Here is a 16,081-nt window from a genome sequence, read left to right as displayed (position 1 = left end):
AACCATGCTCCCTGAAATATATTTTTCCTTTTTCAGCTCTTTCTGATCAGAAACTCAACCTCAAAGGGTGTGAATTATAGCACTAGTTTGATGACAAGCAGAGAACTATCACTAAACACTTTTACCAGCTCACTAAAGGATACTCTAGAAATGACCCAGCCATAATATCTTGGTTTTCTCCTTCTCCATAGACTTTGAGCTCTCCACAGGTTAGCCCTTAACAGCCCCATGCTCATTCCTCCAGTGAGCCTGAGTTCACTCTGGTCTCCACATTGCTTCCTTCTCCATACATCTTAGAACCCAGCTCCAGTTTCTTTTTCTGCACCAAGCCTCTGATTGTTCCATCCCCAGTCTCCTTTCAAGTTCCTGAAGGTTCGTGGCACTGGTTTAGTGCAATCATGCACTGAAGTCCTTTACTTCTTGCTCTCTCATCTGGTTTTCTTTCTGGGTCCCTGACTCTGCAAGTGCACAAAAACTCCCTAAGGAGAGCTCCTCAGAACCCATCACCTCCCTGCATCTTGCCTGATGTTGGCACAGGGGAGGAGCTCAATCCATATTTAAAGTGGGGTGGGCAGGGGCTGATGAGCATGACAGATCTGCATTGGCAACCAGGAGATTTGGCATTTCTGGGCTTTAATGCCTCCTAGTAATGATCTTTCACAAACATAACAGCTAAGAGGAGCATTTCTAAGGAGAAATGGTGGAGCCAGGGGTTCCAGGGAAGACGGAAAGAGCAGAAGACTGGATACGTCCAACAGGTTGTTCTTTCATGTGGTTCTGGGTACAGCAGCAGCAGCAGAACCCAGGAGCTGCCATACCTGGAACCATGCAGAATCTCAGGCCCCATCCCAGTCCTTTCAAATTAGAATCTGCATTTTAACCCGATCCCCAGTGATCCATGTGCATGATAAAATGGGAGAGACATTGGTCTAGAAGTAAAAAGATACCAGGGACATACCTAAGGGACATGAATTCTACAAAAAAGGAACATCTACTGAATGCATTTGGAAATTCCCGAGGGGATGAGAACCAACACACTCTAACCAAGAGGGTCAAGAGGGTTCCTAGGGGAACAGTATTAAGTATCTTTAGTTAAAAACAACTAAACAAACCAACCAACAACCCTTCTACAAATCTACTTCTGAGGAAGTTAGGTCTAAGGGCTAAGGGGTTACTGTTGAGGGGATGAGTCAGGGTAACCATCAAGGAGCTAAGAGACATAGGGAGAAATGAGCCTGCTTTGAGTCATTGGTTTGATAATGTCAGTCTCTGGAGATCCACTCAAGCATCCTGCATGACTGCTGCACAAAGAGGAAGGCACAGATGGGGAGATGTTAATCAGGAAGAATTCTTAAGAACAGGAAGTTCAGTGTTTTACTTTTGTGTTTGCTGGAAATTATGCTATTTGCCTCCTTTTGTTACCTGCAAATGGTGTGGGCGCAGAGTCTAGAAAATGAACTCTCCATGGCCACTAAAGAGAAAATAGATGATCTTAAGGCACCTTTCACATCAAACTCATTCCAAAAAGAATCTGGCAGCTTGGAGAGTTTTACTTTTCTAGTAAGAAGCCTTTTCAGAGTTAGTAATATTTTCATTCTGCAGAAAACTCAGGTCCCTTGAAAAATGTCTGGGCTTTGCAAACATTTTTTTCTGGTAAATGCAATGAGAGCTGGTGAACCCCATCATTCTCTCCCTCTCTGTCTTTGCAAGGCAGACTGCAAATGAGGCCAGAGTTATTGCCTCATCCAGCCCCACAGATATTCTCTCCTTTCTCATCTCTCTCCCAGGACAGAAGCTCAAATTCCATTTCTCAGGTAAGCAACACATGCGTTAATCATCCAGCTGCTCTGTAAACACAAGACAGAAGACCTGCTAATGTCCCAGCAGGTGGGGCCTTATCTGGATTTCCCCAAGAATGTGCTAGTGTCCCAGTGACAGCTAGGACAACTGGTGTGAATATTCCAGCTGTTTGCTCCCTGGTGAACTTCTGCTTTGTTGCCAAGCTTTAATGTCAAACTGCTGAGGGTCTGGCAAGGTCATTTCTTCCTCTTTCAGCTTCTTTCTCTTAATAACGCCTAATCTCTCACCCTCTGTAATGTTTCTCCTTGCAGAGCACTGCAGAATATACTGGTTTTGAAAGAGCCTTGAATTTGAGATGCTTGAATACAATCGTTATCTCTTCAAGCTTTCCCCCCCAAAAAAGATTGACAACACACAGACACTTAAGACTCCCCAATCATCATTTCTTTTATTCCAAAGGAAAAAGAGTAATCGTTTAATCTTATTTCTAACATGCTGGAAGCTGCCCTGATAAAAAGATCTGCCTAACTAGTAAAGGTGTCATGGGTGGATTTGCAGGATGATAGCCTCTTTGTGCTGGGAGACCCTCAGGCTAGATAGACTGATGGGATGTCTAAATTAACACTGGAGACTGTGGAGTGAGTCAGCCAAGGAAAAAAGTGGTCCAGTTCCTCTGAAAATGCAAAAGAGGGTTGGTGGGCCAAGGTGGGTGGTCTTGTGACCCTTTTGGTGAGTCATAGGAGATTTTTTCCCTGCAGAATAAAGTATCTTAAAACCATAGGTATCCCCCAAACCTGTTTCTTGATAAACTTTCCCCTCAGCCAAGATTTTCCCTTGCCATAGTTTAATCTGTACACATCACTTTTTACCCGCACGGCCATCTCATAATCAGACTTGGTCTTCTTTTAAGACCCTATCAGCTGTCATTCACCAACAAACAGAAGTTCCTTCTGGCAGTTTTTAATAACATACATACAACGTATACTAATAAAAAAGGATGTAGAGCTCATAATCATAGATCTACAACCCAATGCACCAAAGGGAGGAGCTGGAGGCACTTCCTTGTTTAGGGGCCTTGAGAAGCACCCACATTGCCTTGTCTGAGAGTGGCTGGATTTTATCTATGTATCTATGCTCCAGTAATGTCAGTTGCTTAAAAAGTTACTCCAACATGTGGTAGCATAAAACAACCATTCTCATGATCACAGATCCTATGGATCCACGGGAAAGCTCATCTCTGCTCTAGTTGGCATCGATTGGGGTGGCTTGAGGATTGCAGGCTGAAATCATATGCATAGTACATATTCTGAGTCTGGCTTCCCAGCTGGAAACATTCAAACAGTTGGGGAGAGAACATCTGAGGCTCCCTGAGCATCTCTCTCCATGTATGGTCTCTTCAGCACGGTGCCTTCAGGTAGCTGGGCTTGCTTCATGGTGGCTACCAGCTCCAAAGATCAATGTCCCAAGAAAAAGAGAGAGAGCAAACCAAGGAGAAAGCCATAATGCTTTTTCTGACCTAGCCTGGGAGCCATGCAAGGTCACTTATGTCTCATATTTGCTGTAAGGGAATTGCTGAGCTGGCTCCTTATCAAGAGAAGGGTAATTAGATGCCACTTTTTGATGGGAGGGAGGAGAATAAAATAATTTGCTGTCACATTTTAAGCCTCTGTAATCAGGCAGGGTGGGATGTGGGGCACTCGGGGAGCAAAGTGGGGTAGCTGGCTGGAGCTCTGGGCTGCCCTGGTGGTTCACCCTGCCGTGGTTTTACAGTTTGGTTTGTGGGAATCTGAACAACGCAGCACTTTCCAACAGTAAAAATAACTGGCCACACAAGCTTTCTGGATCTGAGGACAAAGTTGGGCATGCCTCGATCCCATGGATCATAAGCATGAAAGGGCTATGCCTTGAGAATTTGCTCAGCTTTCATCTGAAGTAACAGTTCCCAACACTGTTTTAGATCATACCTAACTCACGAGGTATTAACTCATTTAATCTTTACAACAATCCCACTAGGAAGCACTATCACTGTGCCCATTTTTCGTATGTGGTAACAGAGGCACAAGAGGCTTAAAAAGCACTTGGTTAAGGTCACCTAGTTGGTACATGGTTGTCACGGGCTGAATTCTCTCTCCCCCAACATTCATATGTTGAAGTCTTACCCCCTAGTATCACAGAAGGCAGCTGTATTTGGAGCTAGGGCCTTTAAAGAAGTAATTAAAGTTAAAATGAGGTCATAGGGGTGGGTCCTAATCCCATATGACTGGTGTCCTTATAAGAACAGGAAATTAGGATACATGCACAGAGGGAAGAGCCTGTGAAGACATGGGGAGGGGGAAGACGGCACCTGCAAGGTGAGGAGGCAAAGCCAGAAGACAGCAACCCTCCTGACACCTTGATCTCAGACTTCCAGCCTCCAGAAGTGTGAGAAAATAAATTTCTGTTGTGTAAGCCACCCACTCTGCTGTGCTTTGCTATGGCAGCCCAAGTAGACTAACAAAGCAATGAAGTTGGAACCTGGATGTAGACAGCCTGACTCTTACCCATCCCACTGCTGGGGCTGGAAAGTGGGCTCCCCACTAGTGACCTTCTTCCCCATCTTTCCCCACCACTAGTACCAAACATGTTTTAGGACAGGCTGACACTCCTTTCCTGCGAATTTCCAGGTAGATGCTCCGTGGAAATGCTAGGAGGAGAAGTCAATTTAAAGTGAAGAAGGAAAAAAAAAACAAAAAACAAAAACACAACAAAACCTGAAATGAGATCATTTAAAATAAGATGAGAGGAGTTTTTAAGCTCCCCAGGATCTGGCTTGGAAGTTGGAGATCAAAAAGAAAGTCCCAGGGCCCTTTAGTCTTTTCATTATGTAACATGCCGCCTCGTCTGAACCGTGGACTGGAAATTCCTGCTGGGACACCACTATTCTTTTTATTAAATCCCTCTTTTTATAATTGCTGCTGTGACAGGCAGAAACTTATGGGCTAGGGATGGGATCTGGGAATATGAGGTTTAGGATAGAGATTGTGGGCAGCAAACTTCCCCACTGGGAACAGTCCCTGGCTCCAGACCTCAGAAAGAAAGCCCAAGCCGCCCTCCTGCAGGCAGTCTTGGTTTGCAACAGCAGAGGTTTCATGACCATTTGCCTCTCCAGATCTTCCCTGAAACAAAAGTCATGGACAATGTCTCCTGAGCCTACGTGAGAAGAAAATACTGTGATACCAAGGCCAGCTCCAATGGACACCTCAAAGCCCTGCCGCTTTGAGTCCCAGGGTGTTGCTCCCTTCCTCACTGCTAGAGGCAGCGGGAGAAGGGCTTGAATGCATGTCTGTGGCTGCCACAGTCATGGGAGCTTCTTGCCCAACACCTCCAGGTGACACTCAGAGGTGCTTTAGGGGCATGCTGTCCTTGTCCTTCTAACTACCAGCAGAGGTGGGTGGCACAGCACAGATGCGCTGGCTTGCAGGCCACCAGGCAGGCTCCACGGCCTCGTCTAGATTCTCATACTTCATCAGACTCGAGAGTCCAGGGAAAATGAATTGAAAGGATCTGCTCGAGAGGAGCCCTATGAAGTCAGATTCATTTTGAGCTTTGACTCATAAGATTGTTTGCTTTCTAGGCTGGGGTCATTCCATTTGACTTCACGTGCAATCTCCAGCATTGTGTCTGATGCACCATATATTCCAGGGAATGTAAAGCTCATGAGGGGAGGGGCTTCATCTGCTTGGTTCACTACAAACAGGCACTCAACAAACATTGAATGGATGAAAGAAAGAGTAGGCGTTTGGCCCATGGTTCTTCTGCCCAACGGAGAACTCGGGGCATCTGCAGGAAATGGTTTGCTTCTTTCCTTCCTCCTATGTATCAAAAAGGCCCTAAAGGGGGTTCTCAGCTGCCTAAGTAGCACCTTGGACAGAAGCAGGTTTGGGCTCTTGGCTGAAGAGCCCAGAAGGGGAATGAGAGGTGGGAGGCCTACTGACATCCCTAAGGGAGTGGCTCATCATTGCTGGTCGAAACTCCTAAATGGCCCCTAGATCTTCCCATGTCCTCCAGATGATTAGACACTTCCTGGAACCCATTTTCTTGGGGGTGATTTTGACCATGGAAACTTTTCATTCATAGTCCAAGTGCCTACTGTTTGGGTGGCCCCAGCATTGGTGGGCAGATCTAGGTTAGCCGTCTCAGATGGACAGTTGGCCTGAGAACTGGGAGGTCACAGCATTTGTTAAAAAATTGTCAAGCACTCACCCCACCTCCCCTAACATGTTGTCCCCTGCCTAAGTGTTTGTGAGTGTTCAGAGGTCCTGAATGACTCTGTCTAGAGGGCTGTAAAGCACACGTGGCAGGCATGGAGAGGTGACACACAAACTCCCTGCAAGGAAGGATCTGCTGTCCAGCTGCAGAGGGATGTGGCCATCAGGTGGCTTCAAGCTGTTGGCTCCACTGGGCTGGGTCAGCCTCAGCTGCAGAGAGCTACCTCGCCCACATCACACCCTTCCTGGAAGGCCCACATCCACTGACACAGAGGCAGTGGTATACATTCCTGGCAGTTTGGTTCCAGGATGAACCATATTTGTTCCAGAACTCTTTGTCAGCTTGGCTGGGACTCTGGTGAGCCTGCATCATGGCTTGACTTCATCTTCCTCTCCTTTCCTTTCACAGGCATTGTATTAGTTAGGGGTCTCAGAGGGACAGCACCAATAGGATCTATGTACCTATAGAAGGAGTTTATTAGGGAGAATTGGCTCAGATAATTACAAGGTGAAGTCCCACCATAGGCTGTCTGCAAGCTGGGGAAGAGAGAAGCCAGTAGTGGCTCAGTCTGAGTCCAAAAGCCTCAAAAGCAGGGAAGCCAACAGTGTAGCCTTCAGTCTGTGGGCAAAGGTCTGAGAGTCCCCAGGAAGCCACTGGTGCAAGTCTCAGAGTCCAAAGGCCAAAGAACCTGGAGTCTGATGTCCAAGGGCAGGAGGAACAGAAGCAAGGGTCCAGTGTGGGAAGAATAAAAGAGCCAGAAGACTCAGCAAGCAAAGCTATCCCCTCTTGTTCTGCCTGTTTTGTTCTGGTGCTGGTAGCTGATTGGAACATGGGAGTGGATTTCTCATGAATGGTTTAGCATCATCCGTTTGGTGCTGTTCTCGTGATAGTGAGTGAATTTTTTAGAGATCTGGTTGTTTGAAAGTGTGTAGCACCTCCTGCCTTGCTCTCTCTTGCTCCTGCTCTGGCCGTGTGATATGCCTGCTTTCCCTTCACCTTCCGTCACCATTGTAAGCTTCCTGAGGCCTCTCCAGAAACAGAACAGATGCCAGCATTATGTTTCCTGTACAGTCTGCAGAATGCGAGCCAATTAAAACTATTTTCTTTATAAATTACCCAGTCTCAGCTATTTAGTTATAGCAATTTGAGAATGGACTAACATAGGTATTGATTAAAAAATATCTTGCACTCAAAACTCTGTCTTCGTGTCTGCTTCCAGAGAACCCAACTGGTGACAGCATTTAATTAATTCATTTACAACTTCCGGACTCTGATTTGATCCCTCCATGATATATATATTTTTAAATGACTCTCCTCTTCCCCCACCAAAAACATAAGAAAATCTGAACCAAATAACAACAAAACCAATGGGAGAAGGAATCAAACCACTTGGTGGTTAAGATGCTTTACCCTTACAGATCTGTTTAAGGATGAAGCTAAAGACCACATAGTCTGTAAAATTAAAGCTTAAAAGATTACGGCTTTAACAAAAAGATTATGGTTTGGATGATGAGCAAACAGAAGAGATTCACTAATCACAGTGCACACATACCCACACACACACGTCCCACCAGCAAATTTCAATTTGGGTTGTTAAACGCTAACCCAGTGGATCATTCATCTTCCTTCTAATCCAGCCTCATTATTGATTACCAGTCTTAGTGTTCTTAGCAGAGTGATCCAGGTCAAGGATCCACTTAGGAAAAGAGGCAAAGTCACAGCAGCTGTAGAGTCAGTGGCATTTTAACTTGAATCCACATGGCAACAACAGAGGCCTCAGTGTCACCGAGTGCACTCTCCCAACGCTACAATTTGGGCTGCGTCTTTGGTTAATAAGAACCTGCTGTGCAATGGCACTTGCTCTTCCAGTGCCCACAGTCCATCTTTGTGGCCCAGAATAACATGTGCTAAGTGGGCAAGAACGGTGGAATGGGATCCAAAGCGATCTTTGCCAGGTTCTGTGGTAAAAACTAATATCTGGAGGAAGGAGAATCAATGGGCCTGTGGCACTAAGGGACAGCTTCCAGGAGAGGATGGGCTGGGGCCCAGCCCTGCATGAAGCACATTCTAGGAGAAAGATATTGCATGTCCAAGAGCATAATAACAGGTCATTTTTACTGAGTACTTTCTATATAGCTGGTGCCATTCTAAGTACTCTGAGTGTATTAACTCATTTAGTTAATGCAATTACTCCATGAGGTAAAGCTATTATTATTAATCCATTTTACAGTTGAGGAAACTGAGGCACAGAGAATTTAATTAATTTGCTCAACTTCATACAGATAGCAAATGGTAAAGATAGATTTTAGTCCCAACAGTCTGGCTGTAAATCTCAAGCTCTTAATCACACTCTCAATTGCAATCTCTTAAAGATTCCAGATGCAAACTGTCCCACCCTCATCACACTGTTGAAACTGCTCATCAGATCTGTGGATATACACAACTGGGAGGCAGAGCCAGCCCCCGCATAAGAGAATCAAGATTTAAAAGGATGTCAACAGTCTGCGCCAGGACAAACAAGGGTGGTGTAAGCGGGTTGAACGCAAAGAATTTCACATCTTAATATAGAACAGGGTGGTGCATGGGAAAAATACATGGAGACTGGAGCTGTTCAAACATTCCCATGAGTCAAGGGTGAGCATCAACAGCTACGCAAACCAAGGAAGCCTTCATCTGGGTGAAAAGGTTTTTCATGTGATGGGGAAGAGGTGGGCATCTCTCCATGCTCAGCATTGTTCATTACACTTCTAGAGAATAATATCCTCCAGGTCTGGGTCCCACTCTGTAATGGAGACATTGGCCATGCGTGAACATCCCAAGGAGGAACAGGTGTCTTGAGGCCAAGAGGCAGAGAACGGTTTCCATCATAGGTGGAAGTGACGCCCAGGAATTGATCTGAGATTATTTGATTAAAACGGGGAATAGATGTATTTTGTTTTGGCAGAGAATGCAGAAACTGAACCAACTGCCACACATTCCAGGGAGAATTCAGCAAGATACTCTAAAAAAGAACTCTTTAGAAAAGAACTCTTTAAAAAAATAATAGAAGTGCCTTGTAAAATGGTAGGCTCTTTATCCCTGAACTATAAGCCATTGGGGATAGGCACTTGATTATGGTGTTTGTTCAGCCATCATTCAGCCACCAAATGGATTTTGGGCACTGTTCAGATACTGAGGATAGAGCAAGAAACAAAATTGATAAAGCTGTCTGCCCCATAATGCTCACATCCCATTGGAGGAAGTTTTATAATACACAAATAGATTTTAAATTATACAGCATGTTCATGATGATACATAGGATGGAGAATTAAAACTTAAAAGACAGAGAAGGGGAACTGGGGGTTCTGGGTGGGGACGTGTGTGAACATGTGAGTAGGGTGACCACAAAAGACCTTACCAAGATGGTGACATTTGGAAAGTCATGAGGAAGAGAACATTGGAAGTCTGGGGCACAGATGTCCATGAACAAAGTCAGAGCAGGTGCCAAGGCAGGACCGTGTGGGAAACAGCAAGGTGGCCAGGGAGACTGGAGGGACCTGAGGAAGGGTTGGACTGTAGGTGAGGAAGTCTGAGTTTGCCTTTTACTCTAAGCACAATGGGACCCTGGTGGAGGGTGTAAGTGGAGTGGCTCTACTCAGACCTTCTGACACGATTCTGAGTGCTTGGTGGGGCACAGAGCACCCACCAGGAGATGAGGAAAGAAACAGGGAGAGCCCTGAGGGGCCTCCTGCAGTCATCCCAAGGAGGGATTGTGGCAGCTGAGCCAGATGGCAGCAGAGGGGGGGTGATCACAGTGGTCAGATTCTGGATGTATTTTTAAAAACATTTATTTTACACACACACACACACACACACACACACACACACTTTTCTTAAGGGTTCTTGAGTTTTATTTTTTTCCTTTTACTTTTCATTGACATGTGATATTAAATAACTGTGCATATTTGTAGGATACAGAGTGATATTTGATACATGTATACAATGCTTAACGATCACATCAGGGTACACAGCAGATCCATCACCTTGAACATTGATCATTTCTTTGTGTTGTGCACATTAAAAATCCTCTCTTCTAGCTTCTTGAAAGTATACACTAAATCACTGTCAACCATATTCGCCCTGTGGTGCTACAGAATGCCAGAGCTTCTTCCTCCCGTCTAGCAGTAACTTTGCATCTGGATGTATTTTGAAGGTAAATCCACAGGATTTCCTGTTAGCTTTGACATGGGATATGGGGCATAGGGTCAACCAAGGATGGCCCCAAGGTTTGTTAGAGCTGCTGGAAAGATGGAGACACCATTTACTTAGAAGATTTGATGTTGCGGGGAGGGCCAGGAGAGCAGGTCTGGACATATTTGAGACTGTCAAGTAGACAACTAGGGACGGGTGGCTAGCCTCATCAGCGCACAGAAGGTATGGAAAGCCGCAAGCCTGAAAGCGAGTGTGGAGAGAGAAGGAACATTGTCAGAAGACATAACACCTCAGTGGGGAGGAGAGAAAAAGCAACCAAGGTGGGCAGGCAGGGGAGGTAAGAGGATGGCCAGGGCAACGGGGAGCCTGGAGGCTGCGGGAAGCAACGATTCCAGGAGTGAACAAGTGCGCCAAAGGCTGCTTTATGTAAAGGAGGAAGAGGCCAAGGGTCAGTGTTAGACTCAGCCATGCAGGAACCTCTTGCTAAGGGCAGTGATTGTGAAGCAAAGGGACACAGCCCGATAGGTGTGGGACCAACAGACCCTTCAAGGAGTACTGTATTGGGAGAAAATTTGGATTGAATAGTCCCTAATGTCCTCTTGGAACCCTGAGATTATTCTGCACTCTTACTATGATTTCCATTCTGGAAGATGGTCTGGTTAGTGGAAGGGCAGATGAAGGAACAAACCATCCCAATTCCTGAAAGTCAAAAAAGCCTTTGGAAAGGTTCTGGACTTGGCCAAAGGCTCTGCTGCAGCCAGGTATATTTTCCCATTTCCATCCATTTGTCCAGTGGCTTTATGGATGAAAATGAAGACAATCATGTATGGGCTACTCTGCTTAGAGAGTCCTAAGTGGGGATCAAGAATCCTGGTTGAGCTATCAGACTGACTCCTGTATTCAAAAAATCTCTCAACGGGTTACAGCCACTTCTTTTCTTCTCTGTTCCAAGAACCACTCCAGTGATAGATTTGACCTTCACTCTAATGACTGAGAAAAAGGCAGAGAAGTGAGGAATCTTGCAGTGGAGATGGGCTGAATGATATCCATCTTCTGCTCTAAGCTGAGTCTGCCCGCCTGTTGAATCTGCATTGTTGAGTGCATTGATGAGACCTTCCCCATGGGGTTCCTTCTGTGAGGCAGTCACTTGGATCTAGGTCTGTCCTGGCCTTCTAGGACCCCTTCCTGCCATCCTTGTTGAAAAGGGAATTTAGCATCCGTGAAGCCAGCATCTTCCTACCTGAGTGTAGAAGAGTGGACGCTGTGCCCTCTGCAGTGTGTTTCTGTGATGTGGTGTGTGGCAGATACAGCTGGTTCCTGCCTGTATATCTTACCAGCCCTTTCCATGCATGGGGGCTGGACTTCCAGCTTCCAGTGCCCGCAACTCTGTCCAAGTGCCCTGGTGGCCCGAGCCCACTCTGCCCTCACATGGCCAGGCTGGATGTGCTCAGGAGTGATACCCTCAAGGGGCAGCACTGACTAATGGGAGCTGGTGTACAAATATTCCAGCTCTCTGACCCCCCAGGTGGCCACTCTGAAGTATGTGTACCCCATCATCTTCCAGGATTCCACCATGGGGTCAAACCTTGGTGTCCAGAGCAGTGACCTGCTTGATAACACACCTTTGGTTGCCTTTATTCTCTCCTTTGTCTTTCTCTCCCACTCCCCACTCAGTGTTTCCTAGGATCCTATCCCAAATAAATTAACTGCTCTAGAATCTTTGTCTGAGGTCCTACTTCTGGGGAATACAAAACTTGATGCAGAAAAAAGGCTCCAAGATTTGATATCCCTAGATTCTTGTCAATCCCCTCTGTGGCTATCCCTCAAGAGGCATGGCAGGCAGCTGCCTAAGGATGTGGCTTGGGGCTGTGCATCTGTGGGGTCCCAGCCCAGCCCCACTGTTCCGTCTCTAGGCCAGAGTGGGGTAGACCACCTCATCTCTCGGGTTTATTTTAAGATTAATGTTGTACACCTTGGAGAAGCAAAATTGTACCTAGGAGATCCCAATGTTTTCCTTTGTAACTGAAACAACAATTTGGTACAAAACAGAATGAAAACCAAAAAGAAAAATAAAAGAAGGGGAGAATGAAGAGAATGATAAGAAGGAAGTGGAAGGAAAAGGAGAAGAAGAAAGCCGAGGAAGACAAAAGAAACAGGAAAGAAAAATAAGAAAAAAGTACCAACTGTCACAAAAAGCTTTATTTCACTGGAATTGGGGTGATGGACTGTAGTTAGCTCATAAAGAAAACAAATGAGCAGTTTTCCACCTGAGTTTCCTGGTCTGCGATTCAAGATGTATTGACTCAGTGAGTAGAAACAGAGGATTTGTGGTTAAACCTAAGATGAATGAAAGTCTGTTCCATTTGTTGGCAAACACTGCAAAGTTCCAGTTACTGCTATCACTTCCACCTGACTCACAGGCACACAGCTCCAAACCAAACTCTTTGTGGTCTCAAAGTCCTTTTTCAGAGAAAGACACTTCTCCCATTATTTAAACTTAATAAATATGAGGATAGCTGGTAAAGAAAAGACATGGTCAGGTAAACTACCTGAAATGGGAATAAGTTGCATAAGTAAAGAATGGTTGCATTGAGATTTTAGCTTCAAAAGCAAAACATGTGAACCTAATGTTTTCTTAAAAATTTAGGTTCTAATGAAAACACATGGACACAGGGAGGGGAACAACACACACCGGGGCCTGTTGGAGGTGGGGGGCAAGGGGAGGGAGAGCATTAGGACAAATACCTAATGCATGCGGGGCTTAAAACCTAGATGACAGGTTGATAGCAGCAAACCACCATGGTACATGTATACCTATATAACAAAAGCCTGCACAGTCTGCACATGTATCCTGGAACTTAAAGTAAAATTAAAAAATAAATAAATACATACATAAAAATAAATACTAAAAAATTAAGATTTCTCTATTGTGGTAGGACAGAAATAAAAGTCTTTATAACTGAAAAAAAAAAATCAGGTTATAAGAGCAACCATGTCCTGCCACCAAGTTAATTGTTCCTTGGTGTAATTTCCCCATAAAATGGTAGAAGAACATAAGATAATAACCCCCTCCTTCGTATTTCATTTTCCTGCATGGTCATAAAGAGAGTTTGGGGAAAAACATTCAAGAGTTTCATCAAGTTTTCCAAGTCTCCATCCTGATCCTTTAATATTAGTATCATTTTCTTTGGGGGGATAGAGAACCTGGGTTGTCATCCTTGACTTTTTTTCTTCCTCAATTGCAGGAGCCTCCTTCATTAATGCCTTTGTACGTGGGATGGAGACATCATTCAACACGTCTGCCTCATGAAACCCTCTATCTCTGCCAGATTTTCAGTTTCAGTTTGCAGTCAGTTTGTATTTTTATGGGAATGTTACAATTTCCAACAAATGGCCAAAAATTGGCTTATGTAATGAATGGGGAGAGATGCTATTGTTAAGCAGGAAAAAAAGTAGGAGGGGGCCTAGGTTTTTAAAGCGGTCAGATCATTAGTGAATATTGTGTGTTTTGACAAGTTTGCTTTCCTATGCAACCTGCCAACAGCAGTGATTCAGATAATGAATGCTGAACTTAGATCAACGAAGAACCTCTGCCTCCATTATACATTACACCCTCCTTTTTGACAACTTAAAAAACATATTATTATTCTTTTTAAAAGCCTTATTGTGACACGGTCATTCTATAGAAACAACCAAAGCATACATGAAAAATGGAGCAAGTATTGCTAATCTGCAAAGAAAAGTTATTTACCTAGTTATGCTTCTCATAGAACTGTGTGTCCTAAATGAGAAGACACCAGCAAATGGTACAGATATTAAAGGACTGACTTTAACTCATGTTGTAGAATGATGCATTGGGATCTTGAAGTCTGTACAATCCATTTGGTAATCATTTACCAACCAGTAACTTCACATTTCTTGTGGTCTTTAATATGTATTTAAATCTTATGTTGCTAATTAACAGTCATCTGTGTATGTATTTTTCTATACACTCTTACTCCATATCATCATCACCAAAGAAAGCAAATACCAGAACAATCAATTCAGACGAACAAGTTTAGGAGTCTATTAAAGACTATCATCGGCCCACACCAATATCAAGATAAAACCGAAAGATTGCTATGGCAGTTCAAAGAAGAGAAGATTGTGTCCACCTGGGGAAACCAGGGAAGGCTTCTTGCAGGAGGTGACACAGACTACAGATTTGAAGGACAAAAATGACTTGCACTTTTAAAATTGGGAGATGGGTTGAAGTGAACAGAGATGAAAAAGGGCATTCTGGTTAGGAAGAACAACATAAGCACAAGCACACAGGTAAGACAACAAAGGTAAGACACAACGAGCAGTTCAGTTCTGCTGTAGATATGGACAGGGGAAAGACAGCTAGACATGAGAAAGGGCTACTGGGATGTGACCAGCAAAGGGGGCCTTTCAGGCAAGAGGCAACGTCAGAGTGGAGGCTCAGGAAGCCTTATCAGTATGAAAATGAATTTGATGGAGCAGAGGATAAAGAACAGAGAGACAGGGGTGAGGGGACTTTGGCAGTCCAGTTGACCAAGAGTGGAGGTCTGGAGTGTATGGTGCAGTGGACTTGGAAAGCAAGGGGCAGGATGAGAAATGCTACAGTGGAAGAATTGATTAGATTTGACAGCAGTCTGGATGTGGACAGTCGGCCATGAAGCTGAGGCTTAAAGGCTGAGTGACAGAAACCACAAAGGTGCACCCAATGTACCAGAAGAACTCAGGTGAAATGGTACATTAATGAGCAAGTAATTTAGTTCATAGCTTAGACCCCCAATTGGAGCCTGCCTCAGAAGGCCCGGGCTGGAAAGATCTGGCACCCATTTGTAAACTAAGTCATGAGGATGGGAGAAAAATCAAGACCAAGGATGAGGAGTGGGGTGCCAGAGGAGGGGACTGATGTCATGAGATCAGATGAGACCATCCCTTTTGAAGGAGGTGTGGCCAAGAGCATCTCTGTGGGAGAAGGAATGCTACCATTTGGGGTGAGAAAAGAGGGGTTTCAGGAGGAAGAAAGCATTCCATAGAGTACAGCAGGTGGAGAGGATGCACAGTGAGATTGTTCACTGGATTGGTGTCCAGGAAAAAGAACTATGGGGAGTCTAAAGAATCAGTTTCAATTGGGGATCAGGGCAGGAGAAGGAGGCAAGTCCCATGTTATGGGTTCTCAAAGGACGTCTGTGAACTGACTCATATTTCTGGTGGCTTCCTTGAAGATAAACATCTAAACTCATTCACACGTCCAACCCTCTTCTATGCCTACATTCTCTTCCTTAATTCACAGAGGGGCCTGAGGGGCTGCAGAGGGACAAGGGTTGACAGGTGTACCAAGTGTGAGGCATGGCTTGGCCGCACACTGTCCACATATACACTGGAATGACCAAAGCAGAACAGTGGGGTTCAAGTCCTAGTTTGATAGTTCTTCACTGTGTGGACTTGCACAGGCCACACCCTGTTCTGACCACCAGTTCATTCACCTGCAAAATGAGGGATTGGACCTCCTGCTTTCTGACATCCTTCTATGCCATGGGCATTCTCCTCTGGTTCATGACCTTCCCTGGCCTTCTTCCCTCTGCATTCTCAGTCCTATAAGTCCCTGCTTTTCTCATCTCCCTCCTACATATGAGGGATTCACAAATGCTTCCTATTTATATTTATGCACAAAGAAGCGGTTACTTCCCTGAGTTTAAAAATTCACTCATCAAAGTCAGATGAATATCATTTGCAAAGCAGTCATCCAGATTCAAATTTAGTGAGAGGTTTTAGAGCTTTACTGGAGCTTAAAATCCCCTGCAAAAATTTTGTGTTTTTGCATTTCAGC

The 16,081-nt window shown here is 44.8% G+C and overlaps 1 protein-coding gene across 1 annotated transcript in view, besides 1 other annotated feature; it reads right to left on the bottom strand.

The window, feature by feature from the left end:
• The window catches only part of SLC24A3 (solute carrier family 24 member 3), a 510,285-nt gene that overhangs the window by 100,404 nt on the left and 393,800 nt on the right, over positions 1-16,081 (bottom strand). The gene's annotated exons all lie outside the window — the stretch shown is intronic.
• Positions 1,563-2,476: an enhancer, noted in NCBI's record as "OCT4-NANOG hESC enhancer chr20:19600691-19601604 (GRCh37/hg19 assembly coordinates)". NCBI's record gives its function as "activates a minimal SCP1, AML or CMV promoter by ChIP-STARR-seq in naive and primed H9 embryonic stem cells {active_cell/tissue: H9 hESC(naive and primed)}" and the evidence as "EXISTENCE:reporter gene assay evidence [ECO:0000049][PMID:30033119]".

The sequence above is a fragment of the Homo sapiens genome, chromosome 20 (assembly GCF_000001405.40).
Source record: "Homo sapiens chromosome 20, GRCh38.p14 Primary Assembly".
Lineage (NCBI taxonomy): Eukaryota > Metazoa > Chordata > Mammalia > Primates > Hominidae > Homo > Homo sapiens.
Note: the sequence above shows the minus strand (reverse complement) of the source record. Positions and strands in the feature narration are given on the sequence as shown.